This window comes from Homo sapiens, chromosome 7 (genome assembly GCF_000001405.40).
Source record: "Homo sapiens chromosome 7, GRCh38.p14 Primary Assembly".
Taxonomy (NCBI): domain Eukaryota; kingdom Metazoa; phylum Chordata; class Mammalia; order Primates; family Hominidae; genus Homo; species Homo sapiens.
The window spans coordinates 122912222-122933745 of NC_000007.14; the positions used below are offsets into that span (position 1 = coordinate 122912222).

Genomic DNA, 21524 nt, shown 5'->3' on the forward strand with positions numbered 1-21524 from the left:
TCTGACACTCACTGTTAAGCTTCCCTCATCCACATTTTATGGCCTTTTTAATTACAGTCGGCCTACCTGGATAATCTAGGATAATATCCTTTAACATCATTTGATTGGCAACCTTAATTCCCCTTTATATAACACAACATATGCACAGATTCCAGCAGTTAGCATGTAGACATCTTTAGGAGGCCATTATTTTTCTTACCACGCAGTGAATTAATAATAATAATTTATAAATACATATAAATAAATAATTATATATACATTTAATCCTTAGAAGTTAGTAGCTTGCCCAAGGTCACATAGGTAGCTGAATAGTGAGCTAAGATGTGAAGACTATACTCTTATTCCAAACTATATGTTACTAACTCATAGAATACTTTCCTCCTCACTTTGGGGGCTATGCTTTTCTCCTTCCTGTCCACTATTTCCTTACTTCTTACTTCTGGGGTTCATTCTGATGCCTTCATCATTGTCTGTGTTTTGCAATGAGCTCCCCAAAGGGCACTTGACCACAGGACAGTTTTCCACTGGTTTTCTGTTATTCAAGTTCTCTTTACCACATATTTTGTTCTGTCTGTTATAAACATCTATAACTGTCCTTCCACTTATAACTATCCTTTTTCTGTTTGGGTGAGTTTATTACATTCATTTTTATTTTTATTTATTGTAAATCAGAGAATAAGTGTTAATGTATGGATTTTACCTTCCCTCATAGCTTTTTATTAAGATATTGAGTTCTTGCTATTTGTTATATAATTCTTTTTAAAAGCACTTAATAGACAATTCTTTCTCTGTAATATTCTTATTTCAACATAGTATTATTTTTCGAGCTGTACTTTTTTCACCTTATTTCTTATATTACTTTTTGAATATATAACTCATTAAAAATTTTTTAGTATTTTGCCTAATTGTATTCCATTTAATATTATAATGTTCAAAGTTCTTGGCCATGGTATTCAATGTATGAGAACTATTGACTGCAACAGAGAAGAACACATAATAAATTCATTAGATTTCTACTTTTTTTTTTTTACTATAAAAGCTATGCGATTTTTACTATTTTATTTCCGAATATGGTATCCTTATTGATTGTTACTAGTTTTCTTGAGGAAATATTACATTTGAATTTCCACATATTTTCACAAGGAATAGAGGCTTAATTGAAGCTGTAATGTAGTCAAGTAGAGATTCCAGCTTGTTGTGTTACTGCCTTTCTATGTGTATCTGGAGTCAGAGTCTAGCCCTGCTGTTGCCTGAACAGTGCTTTTGTTCATATTAGGAGAAAGCCTCCTTTTCCTCAAGTACACGTACGGCTCCCTGACAATGATAGTAATGTTGCAGAATTCCTGCCCCTTAGTTCAGCTAAATCTGGGTTCCTGTGTCACGACCAGAAAAATTGGGCACGCAGACACATTGAAGGGTATGGGGAACGGAATTTATTGGGTGAAAGGAAAAAAGGAAAAATAATTCTCAGCAAAGAGAGAGAGAGTCCTGCTAGGAGGTTTCCCGCCTCACCGATTGAATTGCAGGTCACCACCCTGGAACTGAAGAGGCCAGGCTCCTCCCCGCTGCAAAAGGCGCGAACTTCCCGAAGCTCCACCCCGTCTTCCCAGCGAACAGGTGGGCACTGTTCAGAGAGAATCGGTCAGGAAAGGGGGCGGGCTTCATCCAGGACCAGCAGTCCAGTTTTTCAGCCTTCAGGCTGTTTTAGGCTTGAAAGCGGAATTTCGCCACGGACCTTTGACTGTCTCCTGTCTCTATCAGTAATAAATACACAAGTCCAGGAGAACTGTGAATATGAACGGCATCCCCTTAGAGCTGTACATAACCAACCACCTGCCCTGGTCCTAAGAAAGACCATAACATACTCCACTTTATTTCACTAACTTCTTCTGACATTACTCAGCCAGCACGGAAACAAGCTTAAGTAATCAGACATAATTATTTTAATTATTTGCAACTGAGCCCCAGGTATACTAAGATAACATTAAAAAAAATTGATCTTTTAGTTTCCATGGCACCTTAGGTATTAATGAATGTCAGTGAACCTTACTATTTATCAGAATTCAATTTAACCCCCAATTTTTCTTCCTGTTTTGATGATTACATGCAGCATTCCAACACTTTAGAATATGAGATGAAATGACATTTTAACTGCTAAATTATAGTTACTTAAATCACAAATTGTATTATACTTCTTGAATAAATCACCATCCTTATGATGTAATAGTATGAAGATCATATTTTAATTGTAATAGCTACATTTTCTATGTATAATTTGCTTGATTAGCACTGAAAAGGGTAAGACAAAATAGACAAGGCTACTATTAAAAGTTCTTACAATTGAAGCGTAACTAAAATTCAGGTGGGTTTGTTGGAAAGTGGAGACGGGGATACACCTTAAAAAAAATTTAATGAGATTTGTGACCTTTTACAGTGAAGCAAAAGGGCACCTTAGTAAGCAACATTGAAGCGGCTACGTTGTCTGGGGTATAAACCCTGGGGTTCCTTGTCTTGCTGAGAGAAAGAATTTAGAACAGGGACACACGTGGGTAGGTTAAAGGAGCGGAAAGTTTAATAGAGGAAAGGAGAGGGGAGAGCAGCTCCTTGCCAGAGAGGGACGTCTGAAAAAGGGGAAAAGGCCATGGGCAGCACCAGATTTTATAAGCAGGCTAGAGGAGGTGTCTGATTTGGTAGGGCCCACAGGTGTGACGTTTATATAGCTGGGGCTGGTGGTGGGGTCGGGGGGAGGGAAGACTGGCTGCCCCATCTTAATCTTATTATGCAAATGAACTCGCCCGTTGACTGGCGCCATCTTGTCTGCTCCTGACTCTACACGTAGCTGATAATGAGAAGGGAAGATGGGGCTCCCGTTTTGAACATGATTGGCACAACTGCCAGCATCTATGTCTGCAGCTCGATTTTATAGGCTGCTCATTGTTAGAAAGGAAAATGATTTGGAGCTACTTTTCATTAAAAGGAAAACCTTACTGAGGACTGCTGTACCCTCACTATCTGCTTAAGTAATTTCTTCTTTTTTTTTTTTTTTTTGAGACGGAGTCTCCATGTTAGAGTGCGGTAGCACGATCTCGGCTCACTGCAACCTCTGCCTCCCGGATTCAAGAGATTCTCCTGCCTCAGCCTCCGGAGTAGCTGGGACTACAGGCGCGTACCAACACACCCAGCTAATTTTTGTATTTTTAGTAGAGATGGTGTTCCACCACGCTGGCCAGGATGGTCTTGATCCTTGACCTCCTGATCTGCCTGCCTCGGCATCTCAAAGTGCTGGGATTACAGGCGTGAGCCACTGCACCCGGCCAGTAATTTCTTCTTAACTCCTGTATCAACATATGATAAAATAGAGCATTTTAAAAACAAGTTTTTGAAAAGATTAAGAATTTATAAAAAGCTCTAAGAAGGAAACTTCAAATACGGATCTCAATCACAAGCAAGGTACAAAATATTATGGATAATTCAGAAAAGAAAGGAGAAATACTGTGTATGTGAGTGTGTGTATGTGTGCATATATATATCGTATGTATTTTCATGTGATTATATATAGAAATAGATAGATGGATAGAAAGACAGGTATTATGGTGAAGTTCCGAAGCACTGTTTAATTAAATCTGAAACTACAGAGTGAGTTTTTAACATTCTCCATTCTCATTCATTCTCCCCTCTGCCCAACTAATTTCCATTTTAAAAACATATGGTAGATTGAAGAAAGTCTATAGACTATTCTTCCCATTGCCAAATGCCCGTTTTCTCTATATTTGTTGTTTTTCATCTTTGAGTATGATGGACAATGATTATATATGTTATGCATTTGGGGACTGAAGTTGGGGTAAGTCTTAGAGATTATTAGCCTAGTCATCTCCCTTTTTTCTTACAAAGCATGGAAACTAGGGATGAGACTAAAATGAAACCAGCCACTATATTCATTAATATTTTTAGTTTCTGGATAAAGTTCAAATGGATAATAATTTTGAGAATACAATTTAGTCCATGGCACACCACCAAAATGTTTCATAACCAAAATGTAACCTAATGGAAAACCAAGAATTCACAAACTAAAAGATTTCTTAGTTAAAAAAAGAACACAGTAATTGAAAAGCTAGAGGGTAAGATACTGCAGAATCTAAATTAAGTACCTCAAATTTCAAATGAAAATAAATTTTAGTGGCTTTGTATCTTAAGCAATATATAGGTGTCCAGCCTGGGTGTGCCTAGGTGAGGTTATATCCATAGGTTTAGGTTATATGCAGTATAGAAATGAGGCCTAAACTCTGAACTTTTTTCTTTCTGGCCCAAATTCCTAAGGGGACCAGGGAGTCACGCTCTATAAACCATAAAATCTTATCAGATGGGCCAGGCGTGGTGGCTCACACCTGTAATCCCAGCACTTTGGGAGGCTGAGATGGGTGGATCACTTGAGGTTAGGAGTTCGAAACCAGCCTGGCCAACATGGTGAAACCCTGTCTCTACTAAAAGAAATACAAAACAATTAGCTGGGCATCGTGGCACATGTCTGTAATTCCAGCTACTTGGGAGGCTGAGGCAGGAGAACTGCTTGAACCCGGGAGGTGGAGGTTGCAATGAGCCAAGATCGAGCCACTGCACTCCAGCCTGGGCGACAAAGCAAGACTCCATCTCCAAAAAAAAAAAAAACTTATCAGATGGGTTTTATTTATCCCTATATAGCATATCTTACTTTCCAGCATTACTCTGGCATAACATCACATGACAGAAAATGAAGGAAATCAATATATTTTACCCCAAAATATGTTATTTGACCATATTTTGAAATAGCCTTGCAAAGTCATCTTCCCTGGGGGAAAATTTGCGTCTGTAAAGATCTCTATTAACATAACTAGATGCTTCCCCGTCAGGCCCTCCCAATCTTGAAGAGAACTGAGAGTCTAGCATCTAGCACCTTTTAAAGGTATGAATAGGAAATATTTGCCATCTATTGTCTCTAAGGGTGCTACCTATGAGACTTCACAAGAATATTGGTCTCCATACCCCTTATCTTAACCCTGACACTCCTTTCTTATTGATTCCAGGTCTTTAGAAAATAACTTAACATTTTCAATCAATTGCCATTCAGAACATCTTTGGGTCCACCTATGGCCTAGAAGCACCTGCCTCCTTTGAGTTGTCCTGCCTTTCTGAACCAAACAAATGTATACCTCACATATACTGATTGATGTCTTATGTCTCCCTAAAAAATGTATAAAACCAGGCTGTAACCCCACCACCTTGGGCACATGTTCTCAGGACCTCTTGAGACTGTGCCTTGGGCCATGGTCACTCAGGTTTAGCTCAGAATAAACCTCTATAAATATTTACAGAGTTTGCTTTTTTTGGTCAACAGAGAAAAGCTGATATATTACGGTCAAGTTACTCTGGGAAAAGGCATGCTACTATTTTAAGAGGCTAGATGACAAAATGAGCATAGAATAAAAGGAATCAAGAGCTTTTCATTAGGGCTTCAAGTGAAGGAGCAATGACCCAAGTATGTGATCAAGTTAAAAGGTCAGCTCCAGATAATGAATGGATCTTGAAATGTCTCAGAAAATTGATATTTCTTTTTTCTTTCAATGCTACATAAGAGTCTGGATACTCAAGCATACTTTTCAGGAATTTCCATAGATACATAACATAAACCTCTATAAATTATAGATTATCACATTCTGCCAATGGTGAGATTGTTGAGTTAAAGAACAAAACCAAAAGCACTACACTGCTGTACACGTGAGACAGTGGACACTAATGCTAATGTCAAAATAAAGTGGTATCCTCCATTTGCTGTCTACCAATCCCTGTGTCTGAGATGTTAGGAAGGGGACACTGTACAATAATGAGTTTATTTTTTCTTTATTCCTTAGTATAATACCTGTTTCTACCTTGATGAATTCAGCTGGATGTCCCAGATTGAAATTCGAAGGCTCACCAATATTTACCTTTTTTCAGTCCAAAGCTAAGAGCAACACCTGGACAACATTTGTTTGAACATTTATCAATTCTTGATAGGGAGACAATTTTTTCAATCTCATATCTTCTTGTTTCTGAAGAAATTTTGTATGAAAATGTGCATGTCTGAATTTACTAGGGAAGGCCTGTTGGCTGTTTATTCCTCACAGAATAGCATTAATCTTGGCAATTCATCAGAAACTGGAGGTTGGTTCTCAGACCTACAAACGTAGAAACTTGATAGCATATCAAGAACAAACTCTTCTTTAAGAATAGATTAATAATAATCAAACTCATAGAGGCTGATCTGTATAATCAAATGCTTGTTATTGTCCAGTGAAAAGAATAATCGTACAAATCAACATTTTTGCACCTGTTTAATGCATTGGACACAATCATTTTTGGAAAAATCATTTATCGTCAGGAGTTTGGAATAAACATGGAACCATAGCAAAGGAACTTGTGTTGGTGAAATATAATTGGAAACAAAACCTCTGCCCAATTCAGAAAACGTTACTGCAAAGATGAAAAGAGAAATAAAAGTTTTATTATTGAAAATGCATTAAACCACAATGTGATGTGAATCACAGGCAATCTGTTAAAGAGACTGCAAAGGCAAAAAGACATTTCACCCTCCTATAGCCAACAGATACAGTCCATTTCATACATGTTCTCAAGATGAAGAATAACTAGGTTTCCAGTGGGAAAACTTAACAGCACCATTTGTCACACCTAGTTTGTCCTCATTTCACTTGGTAATTGGGGTGACTCTGTGTCAGCTTATTGGCTTTATTCAAAAGAAAAATCAATTTCTCACTTATTTATGACAGGAGATAATTTTGCAACTTGGAATGAGGCTTCCACTGATGTTAGCTCCCATTCTCCTACAGAAACTGGGAGATAGGGTGCTATGTTCCTTGATGATTATATTTCAAACGATGGTTCTGAGGTCCTTGAGAAAGACATTTTTGGGTCATTAGGCTGGCAAGAGGCTTATTAAATTTGTGAAAGGATTCACATATATTTTAAAAAGAAGAGAAAGAGTTTACAAGCTTTTAAAAGTAAATGCTTGAAGAAAAGGGAAGGGGAGAGTAGTCTCCTCTCTTAACAGGGAGAATTAAGCCTCTTACTTTTAATTTGTATTTGCCCTTAGAGTTGGGATATTCCGATGCTGAATTTGCATCATAGTTGAGTTGGCTGGATTTCCTTCTAGATGTTTGGATTTTTACTTTCTACCTTTGCTTTTCAGTCTCTCACAACCACACCCCACCCGTCACCAGCAAACTCACTTTTCCATCCATTAACACATTCTTCCTTTAATATGTTTCATTCAATCAGATTACCATTAGCCAGGGGAGCTATTCAGTCTGAGGCAAATTTGCTTACTGGTGCTTTATACATTGATTTTCAAAGTTTGTCTCTTAAGGCAAACTCATTTCCTTTTCCTCCAAGTTCTTATGTAGTACTACATAAAAAGAATCTAATGGCACAGTTTACCTGGAGTACCCTAGAGCAGGCACTCAGCAACTATTGAGGATTGATTGAGAAACCTCATTAACTGAAAGCTTGGCATAGGTTTCATTCCAGTTCAACTGGTTTCTGTGTAAAGCTGTATATTGGCAATTACAGGAATGGTTTCCATTTCCCTTTGCTGTTAAAGAAACTAGCAGAATTAAGCAATCAATGACATTACCAAAATAATGACTACATCTAAAATGGAAACATTCCAATTGGCTTGTGAATCATTATTTAACCTCTTGAGATTTACCTGAGCTTGTATGATACTTTGCTGTGAAAATTTAGAATAGCAAGAAATCTTGCAGCTGAACTAAGACTAGTGACCTATTCAGCTTCTGTTTCCCTGTATGGCTATCTAGCTACTTTATTAGCATGTTCATTGCTGTGGGTTCTGCTACTGCCTTTGGCACTGTGAGACACTCAGATTAACATGCAGATAGGGAACCTTTGCCTTAATTGCCTTAGGGCTCAATTCATCCAAAATTACCATTGGAGGCAGCTCTGCTGACCTATGTCCACTGATTTAATAAGAAAAAATCACCATTCCTAAGAGTAAGAAACTTTCAGCTGCTAAGTTAAGTTTGTGCTTCTTGCTCCAGAGGCATGTTCCTTCAAATAAGGTGTTTTGGTTTTTTGTTTTTTGTTGTTTTTTTTTGTTTTATTTTTATTTTTATTTTTTTGCCGTGGATAACATGAAAAACAAAGAGAAATTAATACTGCTATGTTTAAACAGATCCTATATTAGTAACCAAATGTAATGTTTCTGCAAGACATTCTAGTAACACAGTTTCTGCAAGATCACTACTAACTGCATGTCTGGGTTTAGAAATAAGAGCCAATTCACTCTTTTTTATTCTTATTATACTTTAAGGTCTGGGTTACATGTGCAGAACATGCAGGTTTGTTACATAGGTATACACATGCCATGGTGGTTTGTTGCACCCATCAACCCATCACCTACATTAGGTATTTCTCCTAGTGTTATCCCTCCCCTAGACCCCCACCTCCCACCAGGCCCCAGTGTGTGATGTTCCCCTCCCTGTGTCCATGTGTTCTCATTGTTCAACTCCCACTTGTGAGCAGTTCACTCATTTTAAGGTCAAAGTTTTGTATTCTCTGCCAGATAATAGCAATTTATAAAAAACCTGTGATGACTCCTGCATTATTATAGACTGTCCATCAATTGGTATACTTTTGCCTGAAATTCAAATGTGCCAAAGATATTTCTAGGGAACAATTTTCCAAATACAAGGCAAAATTGTGAGGCACTCTCTCTTTGGAGATTACAAAAAGGAATGGTCTCAAAGTGAAAACAACAACACACTCATAAGATGCAACAGACCTGAGAACAGATCCATCTCTGCTAATTACCAGATTTGTGAGCTTGGGTAAGTTATTAATCTCTTTGAGCCTTAATTTTCTCATATGTGTATTTTACCTTATAGTCACTATACATAATACCATAACATGGTTTATAATAGAGTGTTAAGAAGAACACACAAAACAGCTGACACATAGCAGATGTTCAATAAAGGATAGCTCTTATAATTTTCCTATCAAAGGTTCTATAGCATCCTCTTTAGAGAGCACTGAAAAATGAAAATTATGATTTGCTGGGTACTCTTTGGACTCTGATGGCATAATTTCTGTACCTGGTATTAGTGCACCATGTTTTCATAATGAGCTCTAATTTGTTGCTAACACATTATCCTTTTCCTGCAAAAGCATCCAAGTCATGTGTTAGTCTGTCAGGTCTAAAAAACAATCCCATCAAAATATGTATTCATGCTTTTAGAAAAATGTTCCTTACATATTTGTCATCGGATATTACAGTTTTGTTTTTACTCAAAACCTGATCATCAAGCAATAACCTGATTCCCATGGTATATATTTTTTTAAAAAAGGCATGATGTATTAGAAATAACACTTTCTTAAAGGGGAAAAAAAACAAAGATTTTATCTAATCAAGAATCTTAAAAGAACAAGAAAGATAGAATTTTGGTACTGATGGTGTAACTGAACTCAGGTCTGGCTGCTCACTGTTCAAAAGTCAAAATAGGAGAATTGAGGTGCAATGAAAGGAAAACAATTCTATTCAGATACTAGCACTTGGGAGATGGCTAGGCGCAGGCCTCAAAAGAACCATCTCAAAAGTTTAGGCTGAATGAAGGGGTTTAAAAAGGGAAAACTGGTGTGAGAAACATGCAGGAGTGGGGCAGAGTGCAGCATCTGTGTGTCTTGTTCCAATGGCTGTCTTGAGTTATTGTCCACCTGGAGTGTGTGCTGACACCATGTTGACAAAGGCTGGTCGTAGATTAACGGCCTTGAGGCAATCTCTAGATGGGAAGAATTGCATAGCTGAGTCTCCATGCCTGTTTTATTTTAAGATTAGCACCCGGAATTTTTAAGCAAGCACATAATTAGATAAGCAAGTGCAGTACAAGGGAGTTCCTGGTGGGAAAGAAGGGACACAAAGAGTTTCAAAGTATATTTCAAGGCTAATATGAGAGAGAAGACAAAAAAGTTTTAAAATGCGTTTTAAAGCCAAGCAACTCAGTTACAAGAGGCCTTTAGAGCGCATCTTATTCAGTTCTCTCACTCCCTTCCCTCCCTCCCACAGTTTTCAAATGATAAAACTGATGCTGAGAGAGATTAAATAATTTTGTTTTGATATTGCTAAGAGCAAAGCTCAGATTTCCTGACATTCCATTTTTTCATGGTGGTCATTTTCTTTGTACACAGAGCTTCAAAGAGAAAAGAACTGTCAAGTTTCAAAACTTCAATCCTCACTCTCATCTTTTCATACTTGAATATATTTTAAAAATAAATGGTGAGGTAAATATTTGCTAGTTTTGCCTGCTTCAAATGGATTACCCTTCTGGTAACAGAACTAATGTTGCCCTTGGGCATCCATTCCACCCCTGCTTTTATTCCACATGATGGGATAGACTGATGCCCTTCTGGCCCCATGGGTGGGTAAGTCTGGCCTGGCCAATCAGAATCCCTTGGTCAACAGTGATTTGTTCATAGATGGGCACATGACTCATTGTCCCAGAAGACTCAGTTTGGGACTTTGTGTTGTTGAAAACAAAAATATCTTTTATGTTACACTTAATCAGAAAAGACATAGATTTGGAGCTTTGGGGGCATCACCAAGAGAGCCTTTATAAATTTTAAGCCAACACAGAAACACAGAGGAAAACAGAATTAATATCGGGAGATTGACTCCTGAAGATATTATTTGAATGCCATGTATGAAGTTACTTCTATCCTTGAACTTTTTTATTACTGAAGTTTATAAATCTTTTCTTTTTTTTTTTGCTTAAGGAGATTTGAATTGGGTTTATTACAAGTTGTAATGAAGCAATACAAAAAGGAGAAACTATAAGAGTTGAAGAGATAGAAAGGATTTAGGGGGCCATTGTGAGGAATATTCTTGTTCATCAGCCATGGCCAAAGTTAACAACAGAATTAAATCCTCCAAAAGATCTAGTCACCTTCCCCACTTACCCTGACGCCTGCCTAAGTCACAAACCAAGTACACTGGCTATGGTCAACTTGTCTCTCTATGTTGAAGCTTCAGGTTCTTATTTGGGTAAACAAACTCAGATTTATTCTTTCCTTTGGTTCTTAAATTAATTTAGCATTCTTCATAAGTTTTTTAATAAAGTAATTGACATTTAAAATCAAGAATGAAAGTTTTTCTGTTTTGAAATATGTTTCTGAATGACAAAGTAATATATAGGTATTCTAAAATATTTGAAAAAGAAGAATTAACAAAGACAAGGCAATAAAAATTGATAACACCATCTCCTAGAAAAACTAATTTTAATATATGCATTTATAATGTTTTCTATATACAAGTATTCATGTATAATTTGTATTGAACATATTACATGGCTTTGCAAGTTACTTTTTTCATGGAGTAATTTGTTGTAACTCTTTCTCCAGGTCAACAAAACATTCTTCTAAAACCCAATTTTATCATTTAGGGTTTTTGTTTGCAAAAGACCAGCTCTAGTTATCTTAAACAGAAAAATAACTTATGTGCACAATGCAGGGAAAGTTGCAAAATTTAAGGAAATATAAAGAAGAGTTTTAAGGAATCATCTTGCTTCATGAACTGAGAGAGAAGAATGCAATGCATAATTTATTCAAGATAGGGTGAATAAATTTCAACTTTAGAGCTCTTGCCTTTCAAATTGTATGCCCAGAACATCTGTCCAAGCCTGGCTCACATGCTTACCATTGGTCCAAGAGAAGGTGGTCACCCTCAAGGTTATGTCCAATGTTGGCAGGGATATATCCCAAAGAAAAATTTGGATGCTACTGTTAAATGAAAGAAGAATAAATTCTTGGCAGTTAAAATAGGAGATGTACACTGTGACAATTTTTAATAACTAGAGGGTAGTCAGTTATTTAAGATAATATACATAACCATATTAAACTGGTCCATTATTATTGGACATCTAGGTTGTCTCTAATGTTTCTTTATTATAAGCAATAATGTGGTAAAATCTCTTACAGTTTTAAGTAATTTTCCCAAAAAATGCAGAGGACTGTAATGGGGATAATTGGAGGTACAGAAAATGGCATAATTTGGAACAAAAAATAATCCCCATGCTTTAGAATGGCTTTTATGCCATGAGTCTGATAAATCTGACATAGTTCCATCCACTCATTCTTTCTGCAAACAGGTGTTGACAATCTATTATGGGCCAGGTGTGATTGTTGGAACTATGTTAGACACAAAAGGGAAAAATATATTTTCTGCTTTTAAGAAGTACACAAGATATGTACAGAGGTAGGTAGGTAGGTAGGTAGATAGATAGATAGATAGATAGATAGATAGATAGATAGATAGATAAACTAGCTTCAAAAAAGAGTTTGAAATATCCTCTGGAAAATAAAAAAAGTGTGCATAATGTTGGGATGAACTGTTACTTTATCATTAGCTTCTGAAACTACTAGACAGTTGTTAGTTATGATTGCCCAACTTCTTTTTTTCATTTAAATGCCTTTTAAAATAATTTCTTCATGTTCACAGAAGTTTCACTGACCATTTTTATATGTTTAAGGTCCAGATGCAGTGCATATTGTATAAAAGAGAGCACTTATTGTTTATCTTGCATGAATTAAACCTATGTATCTTTAACCCTACAAACTTCTGTATAACATTTAGACAAAGCTCAGACACATAGCATGCCTAGCCCATATATATATATATATATACACATCTCTAATCACAGGAATATAGGGTGTCAAATATACTATAATAACCTCCATGTAAGGTTTGAAATTTGGTAACAAAACGAGAAAAACTAAAAATATTATTTTACGTGTTCTAAAATATCTCTTTTTTGTGCTAAAGTAAAATGTTAGCTCAACCTGAAAAGGACTTTTATATAATTCAGCAATATTATAATCTTGACCATTTTGCCAACACTTTTTAATAATAATGGCTTAAACATGTACAAAAGTTCTTAGTTAATTAGGGAAACAACACAGGTTGAATATCATTTGTACACTTAAACTGGGAATTTTAAGCTTAAATCAGAAAATGACTGAGACCTAAATCTCTCCAAATAAATATGTACTTATTTTATGCTATTCATTATATATGTATAAAACTTTTGCCCTTATATGCCAGCTTCTCTCCTACTTTATACATGTATCTAAAAAGCAAACAAGGTTAACAACGCCATTTCCAAAATAATTCAATGATAAATAGGATATTTAGCATATTTTCACTACTGAAACGAGAGTTAGTTTCAGAATAAGCCTTTAAGTGTGGGCTTTTTCTCAGACTAAGGAGGTGAAAGGCAGCTTTCCTTGGGCTATAGTGTATAGTAGCCTTAAAAAGCAATGATTGCCCAACTTCTTAAAATACTCTCCTTCCATTCTGATACTTCCATCTATCATGAGTTGTGTTTTCCCAAGATAGAAAACAGAAAGCTCTTAATCTTAGACTCCCTTGCAAAAAGGTGTTGATTTTGACTAGATTCTGCAATTAGATGTATATATGTGGATAATGTGAGGAAATGGCCAGATGTAGGGGAATTATGTTTTATTCTATGGTGTGGTACTGGGGGAGCTTTGAGCATCGCTTCCTGAGCTTCACATGTACCAAGACTAGAGCAGCCTGCACAGCATGAATGGGCATTTGTTTCTAGCTGTGTGATTTCAGGGTGTGGCTCCCTGGCCCTTCCAGAGAGTCTGTGAATTAGCTTACGTCTTTCGATAAATTCATTTTTTGCTTAGACTCATGATAGTAGATTGTGTTGTTTATGACTGAGGGCCCTGACTGACACATTTACTGGTACCAGAAGTGACTGCAAGAAATGGACCCTCAAGGAAGTGAAGTTGAGACTGTTTATCTTACTTGCTTAAATTTTAGGGTAATGAGGACCCAGTGACCATGAAGAGGCTCCAGAACTTCATGACCTTCTGTTATGAAAAGTTACTTATAGTACTATCTGTGCTCAACAGAAAAGTGCCTACTGAAGGTAAGATTGCAGACAGAAGAGTCTGTGCCCATTGACTATTATAAAGGGTGGAAAGAATGTAAGGCTGCTTCTAACTGTAGTGGAGAAATAAAAGGAAAAAAAGAAAACAACAAAGTCACATGTTGAGTTTTTGTTTAAGGTTTGGTCAAAGTATCAGGGATTTTTCTATGACTGCTCTAAAAGGATTTCTTCTAATTTAATTGGTATAGCAGAAAAATCAGATCCTAAAACCTATTAAGATTGTAATTTCTTTTTTTTTTTTTTTTTTTTTAAGATGGAGTCTTGCTCTATCGCCCAGGCTGGAGTGCAGTGGCACGATCTCAGCTCACTGCAACCTCCAACTCTTGGGTACAAGTGAGCATATCTGCCAACTTTTTTTTTTTTTTTTTTTTAATAGAGCGTTTCACCATTTTGGCCAGACTGGTCTCTAACTCCTGACCTGAAGTGATATGCCCACCTCGGCCTCCCAAAGTGCTGGGATCACAGGCATGAGGTACCACACCTGGCCTGTAATTTGATTTGAATTTATAGCCTCAGCATGTCTCTTCTGTGAAGGTTATAGGATCATACCTGAAAATGACCTGGCATTTGTCCAATCTAAGACAATAGTTGTGAAGATAATCAACATTATCTGACACATAGGGTTAATTGATGATGAGATCTTTAAGACTAAACCATATGGGCAATCTATTAACATTTCATTTGAACTATATAACAACAAAAATAACACTCTAGGTCTGTCAAAAAAAAGACTTGAATTAAAAAATAACAAAAGAATCATCGTCTTAGTCCATTTAGGCTGCTATAACAAAATATAATAGACTAGGTGGCTTATAAACAAGAACAATTTGTTTCTTACAGTTCTGAAGGGTGGAAAGTCTAAGAATATGGCACTGGCAGATTTGTGCCTGGTGAGGGCCCGTTTTCTAGTTGATAAATGGTATTTTGTTGCTGTGTCTTCACATAGCGAAAAGGGTGAGGGTCTTGCTGAGGCCTTATTATAAGGAAAGTAATTTCATTCATAAGGGCTCTGCCCTTATAGCCTAATCACCTCCTAAATACCCCATATTGTAAAACCATCACCTTGGTGGTTAGGATTTCAACATGTGAATTTTTCACGGACACATTCAGACCACAGCAACCATTCTCCCTTGAAAAGCTGGTAATAGGATGACGCAAGAAAATCATTTAAGATACAAGGTTTGATGCAGTAACAGCACTTGCACGAACCAGAGTGAAATTTTGTGCTCTAGGCACGTCACTTGCCTCACCCCAGTCCCAGCCTTGTCCCTCATTTTATTACTAGATTCAAGGTAGTTCACAGACTTAAAGCGTTTCATAGACCTAAAACACATTAACTGAAGGATAGGCAAAATAACATTGTAAACATGTACCAGAAAATTCCCCCAGCCCACTCCAAAGGAATCAATAACATTTACTAAAAGAAAAAAAAAATGTATGCATTGGGAAAGAGAAACACATAAACTTTGTTGGGAGAGGTTATTAGATACTAACAATGAGCCAGTTCCAATTCTTGGGGACCCAGAATGTCTTTCTCAACCAGGCTACAGGGTGATAAAAGGAATTTTGGTTCAAGACTGTCTCACCGTGGGCCCAGTGGTTCCCGAAAATATCCTGTATTTTTTTTCTAAGTGCTTCCATGTGTGTATGTATGTATGTGTGTGTATTTCAAATAGATATACTTAACACCTGGTAGAATTGCTGTGTTGGCTGCCTAGTCATGACATGAAGTCATGACTATTATGACTATTAGAGGAAGGGCCAAATAGAAGCCTCTGGAACTCCTTCCCCTTAGCAAAATTTGAATCCAAAATCAAACTCATTCTAGGAGAACTGCAAAGATTAGTTCTACCATCTAAAAGTTGAAATATGCAGGGATGGTGATTCCTATCATATCTCCATTCAATTTCCCTATTTGGTTTGTTTAGAAAACAGCAAAGTCTTAGAGAATGGTAGAATATGGTTGTAAATTTCATCAGGTGATGACTTCAAATACAGCTGATGTTGTAGATATATTCTCTTTATGTGACCACATCAACAAAGCCTACTGTGAAGCAATTTAGCTGGCAGCAGTTGCTCTCTATGTCCAACAAAGAGAGAATATCAAAGGCAGTTTGCTTTTATCTAGCAAGGATAGCAACATAACATTGTTATCCTACATAAAAACAATATTGACTCCCTTGATTTAAGCTACAGTTTAATCCACAAGAACCTCAATCATCTCATCATCCTACAAGAGAGCATACTAGGCTACTATATTGCTGACATCATCAGAGCAGGTATCAGGTCTTTCAGATATCATGGATACACACTTGCATGCAGGGAATAGGAAACAAAGCCTGTAAAAGTACAGTAGCCTGCCACCTCAATGAAGTTCCTGGTGTCCAGTAATCTAAAATAAGTTGAAATAGCCCCTCCAAAGTTAAAAGTTGCTGTAATTTGCTCTCCTTACTGTTAAGAAAGAGGCCCAGAGTCGCAATGCTTAGTGAACCTCTTTGAGGTTTGGAAACCATTGGTATCTTATTTGAGTAAGTTACTCTAACATCTTTAGCAGATATCCCATAAGACTTCTGCTTTGAGTGGGATGTGGAGCAAAAAGTCTCTTTAGCTGGTTGAAAATGGAGTGCAAATTACTCTCTCTCAACACACATGACCCAGCAGATGCACTGGCATTTAAACTGACTTTGGTAAACTTATGAAACCTATGGCATAAGAAAATAATGCACAAGCCTCTACCTTTTTACAACTATTTTGCTGTAAAACAAACAGCATATTTTATGTTGTCTTTGGAAAGAAAATATCTTTGTTTTAAGAAAAAGCTTCTCACTTGTTGCTGGCTTCTGATAAAGACCAAAGTTTGGATCACAGGACTCCAGGAGCATGCTTCTTCTAGATCTAGGCAAGCAGGGCCCCTGTGCTGGGCCTTTCATCTCAGGAGGCCACATTTTGGACTGCCTTTCTTGGCATTATCTTTATTTTTTATTTTATTTATTTATTTTTTTGAGACGGAGTCTCGGTCTTTTGCCCAGGCTGGACTGCCTTGGTGCGATCTCAGTTCACTGCAAGCTCCGCCTCCCAGGTTCACGCCATTCTCCTGCCTCAGCCTCTCGAGTAGCTGAGACTACAGGCGCCCGCCACCACCCCCGGCTAATTTTTTGTATTTTTAGTAGAGACGGGGTTTCACCGTGTCAGCCAGGACGGTCTCGATCTCCTGACCTCGTGATCCGCCCACCTCGACCTCCCAAAGTGCTGGGATTACAGGTGTGAGCCACTGCACCCGGCCTTTCTTGACATTTTCTAAGTGCCCCTGTGTTGTCTGTAATTAGCCGGAGCTTGTAGTGCTATCTGGGTGGTATGCTCCGAGTCTGCATAGGGATTTTTGTGCTCCATTTCCTGTTTCTCTTTGGTATCCTTCACAATCCTCTGCCCCACATCTACCAGATGCTCCGAGAAGCTCCAAATTCACGCTATGGTCCTATAGCCAGGTGCTGGCTACAAGAAGGTGCCTTTGTGAGCAAGTCATTCTTACCACCTGATGCAGTGTTTCTTTCATGAGACCCCTTAAGATTAGATTGATGACAGAATAGTGCTCATGTGCTGATTTGGGCTTCATTTTGGACAGAGAACAAGTGCAGGGGTCTGGGCTACTGACAGTCTACTGCTGTTTCTTGAGCTGCATGTCTGTGCCCATGTGTTGCCTCTCACCTGTTTGTGCGCTGATGTGGTACTGTCTCTGGTTTATTGCACCTAAGGGTAGTAAGAGTGATGGTAGGCATTCTTTATGTACCCTCCCTTCCGCTACCCCCACCCCTGCCACTGGCACTCAGGGAAGTCACCCAATTCCTCCTTAGGGCTCTGTACCATGTGTTAGGCAGTCCTCTGCAGGTGGCTACATCTGTCTCCCCTGAGGTCTTCCAAGGCTATTTCTTTGGAACTTCCACAGGTCCCTTCAGCTGATGTCTTTTTTGCCCCTGATCAATGTGGTGAGGTCGTACTCATGGGGATTAATCTTAGGCCATGTGAGATGAAAGATGGGCAGTCCTTGTGAAGATAGGAACATTCTTCTCACTCTGCCCAAGGTCCCTTTACGTATCTTTCCCCACTGTTGATTTATGAAAGGTAAAAATGAGGTATCAAAAGATAAAGTTTTCTAGGAATACAGCAATTACAGCTTAATGAGTTCAAAAGAAGAAATTGTTGTAAGATATGTGGTTATATGTTTATATAAACATACAACTATAAAATCCTGTATAGTAAATTTAACATGATCAGAAAGCAAATTATTGTTCATATTTCCCCACATGCTGTTGTTAAAACCTGCATTTGTGGTCATTATCAGTGAACCACAATAACAATATTTAAGAAAATTATTGGGAGCCTGTATTCAGGGATAGCTAAATGAATAACACAGTGTCATAGGTAATCATATAACAATCCCTAATAAGAGGTATTAGGAGATTGCAGAGGCATGAAAATCTATATTGTTTCAATATAATGAATTCTAAAGAGACATGGCCGTGTGAATAATAAAGAGTTGCTACTTTTACCTCATGGTGGGAGATGTGAACTTAGACAATAATGGCACATTTGAAAACAACAAACTGTTGAAAAGGGTTCCTAGGCTGGATCAGGAAAAGTCTTGTGTACATATACTGCTGGAACACCATAGCACATTTCACATGTGTGCACTTAATAAATCACTGTTAAGTGAGTGAAATAATAAAATAAACTGCTTTAAACTTTTTTATTTTTGTAGATTTAGGGGATACAAGTGCATTTTTGTTACATGGGTATATTGCACAGTAACGAAGTCTGGACTGTTAGTGTACTCATCACGCAGATAGTGTACGCTGTACCCAATAGATAATTTTTCATCCCTCACCCCACTCTTATCTTCCCACTTTTTGGAGTCTACAATGTCTATTATTTCACATACCTAGTATTTAGCCTACTTACATGTGAGAACAAAACTGCATGTTATTAATCAGAAGTGCATCTACACATTTTTGAAAAATAGCAATGTATCGATAGGGAAGTCATATTATTTATGTTGTCTAAAGACAATTTTGTGTTCATATATGTATTTTTGGTTCCTTCTCAAGGTTATAAAAAGCAGCAGAAGGCATTTTCAGAGTATATAATAGCAAAATAAACAGTAAGGGCTGAGATGAGTATAGCTGAAACCTGGTGATCCACTAGTGCTCTCTGGTACTATCATGTTCACTAGAGTTAATGGCATACTAAAGCAAATCCATTCAGGCAGGGTCATCAAGGGTTCACTTCATTAAGGAATAAAATTTGGTTCTCCTTGCCTGTCAAAAAAATCTTGATCAGCTGAGTTGGTGGCTAAGGGCAAAGGCAACATTGAATAGATAATGAAGGAAAGAAATAATAAACACCAACTATGGTCTTTTTGACTTATTTGGAGAAATGCAGATGGTATTTAAAGCACAATTGGCTATCTGTATTTGTGAGTTCCAAATCTGTGGAGTCAACTAACCATGAATCAAAAATATTAATTAATAAAACAATAAAACATAGCAACACAAATCCAGAGACCTCAAGATGGCTGACTAGAGGGCCAGCTGTCATTTTCTTCCTCCACAAAGAAGAACCCAAATAGTGAGTACATAAGCATACGTCTAATAGATCATCTAAAAGAGAACACTGGAATTTAACAGAGAAGTGACAGAAAACACCTGAAGCAAGGAAGGAGAGGGAAATGAGGTAGCTTTCTGGGCCAGGATTGGCTGGGAGCCCAGAGATGGTCCCCACTGTGGAAAAAAGGTAAGTGAGAGATCTTCCAGGGGTCCAGATTCCCAGGGTGGACTCCTGCATTGCTAGATGCAAGAAAGCCCCTCCATCCTCTGGGCCCCTGAGACTGATTTAGGGAGTTGCCTGAAAACAGCACAGGGGCATTGCTCCAGAGAGGGAGATCACACTGAGTATCTCCCTAACTCCCAGTTAGCACAGCACCATTTTGAAAGTCCAGTCCCCACCAAACTGCATCCTCCCCTGAGGTTCAACAGCCCCTGTACCTCCACATTCCTGGAGCCCCACTGACATCCTCAGTAGAGCCACTGTCACTCAGTAGAGCTACTAGTAGCCACTGTCCCTGCTGGCTGCTATTCCCAGGGCCAAAGCCAGAGCCAATGGCAGTGACCCCTGTCCCCCCAGCAGCAGGGTGGCTGTGCATTTTCAGGGTGCCCTAAGGAAAGCCTACCTCACCCACATCTGCCATGGCTTCAGGCTGCTGCTGCCACGTGGCTGAAACCCCAGCTACTGGCAGCAACCCTGTCCACCAAGCAGGAAGACTGCAGCATAGCCAAAGTCACTCTCACCTAAGCAATCCATCAGGAGCCTGGGCATCACCCTGCCCCTGCCCACCATGGCCAGGGCCCCTTCTGCACCACTAGGGGTTCTGAAGGCAGGACCTCAGGCCATTTCCACCCCTCCAGTGCAATTATTCATTGCCTGCATACAGAAAAACAATTGATATTTTATATTAACCTTGTTAATCCTGCACCATGGACAAACCCATTTATTGATTTTAGTTTTCTGGTATACTTTTCTGGATTTCAAAATATGTACACATCCATGTTATTTGCAACTAAACAGTTTGCTTACTTCTTTCTAATCTTTTTACCCATTATTTCTTTTTCTTGCTTTATTACACATGGTAGGGCATCTAATACAATGTTGAATAGAAATCGTGAGAGTTTTGTTCCTGACTTCAGGGTGAAAACATTTACTCGTTCATTATTTAGTATGTTAGCTATGGATTTTTCATCAACAACAGTGTAAGAGCAAGCATGTTCCTTTCTGGTCCCAGTATGCTAATAATTATTTTAAAATCATGAGTAGGTGTTGAATTTCACCAAACACTTTTTCTCACATTTATTACAATCATATGTCTTTTTCTCCTTTAGTCTGTTAATATAGAAAATTATACTGATTGATTTTGCATGACTATGCAACCCTGCATTCTGGAGATAAACCCTAGTTAGTAATAATGCATTCATTATCCTTTTAATATGCCGCTATACTTAATTTGATAAAATTTAAAAGAATCTTTGCATACATGTATATATTTACAACAGATGGTGAACTGTAATTTCTCTTTCTTGTAATATTCATGTTTGTTTAAAATAAAATGGGAAATATCCACTTCTCTAATTCTCTAACATTGGTATTTTCTTCCCTAAATATTTGAAAATTTTCACTAGTGAAGCTTTTGGGCAAAATAATTTTCTTTGTTCTTTAAAAAATAATTGATTAATTTCTTCAGCAGATTTAGGAGTATTTATTTGTATTTTTCCTTGTCCTGATTTTGGTGTATTGTATTTTCCAAGGAATTTGTTAATTGCTTCTAAGTTGTCAAATTCATTAATGTAAAATTTTTCTAACATTCTTTTATGTTTTTGGTTCTGGTAGGGCTCTTTTATTTCTAATATTGATAATTTTTATAATGATGCTTTTAGAATCATTGTTGACATAAATTTAAATTCT

At 37.7% G+C, this 21524-nt stretch overlaps 1 long non-coding RNA gene across 1 annotated transcript in view, besides 3 other annotated features; it reads left to right on the forward strand.

Annotated features, from left to right (window-relative positions):
- Window positions 1113-1623: an enhancer, noted in NCBI's record as "H3K4me1 hESC enhancer chr7:122553388-122553898 (GRCh37/hg19 assembly coordinates)". NCBI's record gives its function as "activates a minimal SCP1, AML or CMV promoter by ChIP-STARR-seq in naive and primed H9 embryonic stem cells {active_cell/tissue: H9 hESC(naive and primed)}" and the evidence as "EXISTENCE:reporter gene assay evidence [ECO:0000049][PMID:30033119]".
- Window positions 1624-2133: an enhancer, noted in NCBI's record as "H3K4me1 hESC enhancer chr7:122553899-122554408 (GRCh37/hg19 assembly coordinates)". NCBI's record gives its function as "activates a minimal SCP1, AML or CMV promoter by ChIP-STARR-seq in naive and primed H9 embryonic stem cells {active_cell/tissue: H9 hESC(naive and primed)}" and the evidence as "EXISTENCE:reporter gene assay evidence [ECO:0000049][PMID:30033119]".
- Window positions 3337-21524, forward strand: part of LOC105375482 (uncharacterized) — a 50714-nt gene continuing 32526 nt past the window's right edge. The window contains exons 1-2 of the long non-coding RNA XR_927924.2: window positions 3337-3450; window positions 13886-13994. This is a non-coding gene — a long non-coding RNA (uncharacterized LOC105375482). The remainder of the gene's footprint in view (window positions 3451-13885; window positions 13995-21524) is intronic.
- Window positions 19747-20247: an enhancer, noted in NCBI's record as "H3K4me1 hESC enhancer chr7:122572022-122572522 (GRCh37/hg19 assembly coordinates)". NCBI's record gives its function as "activates a minimal SCP1, AML or CMV promoter by ChIP-STARR-seq in naive H9 embryonic stem cells {active_cell/tissue: H9 hESC(naive)}" and the evidence as "EXISTENCE:reporter gene assay evidence [ECO:0000049][PMID:30033119]".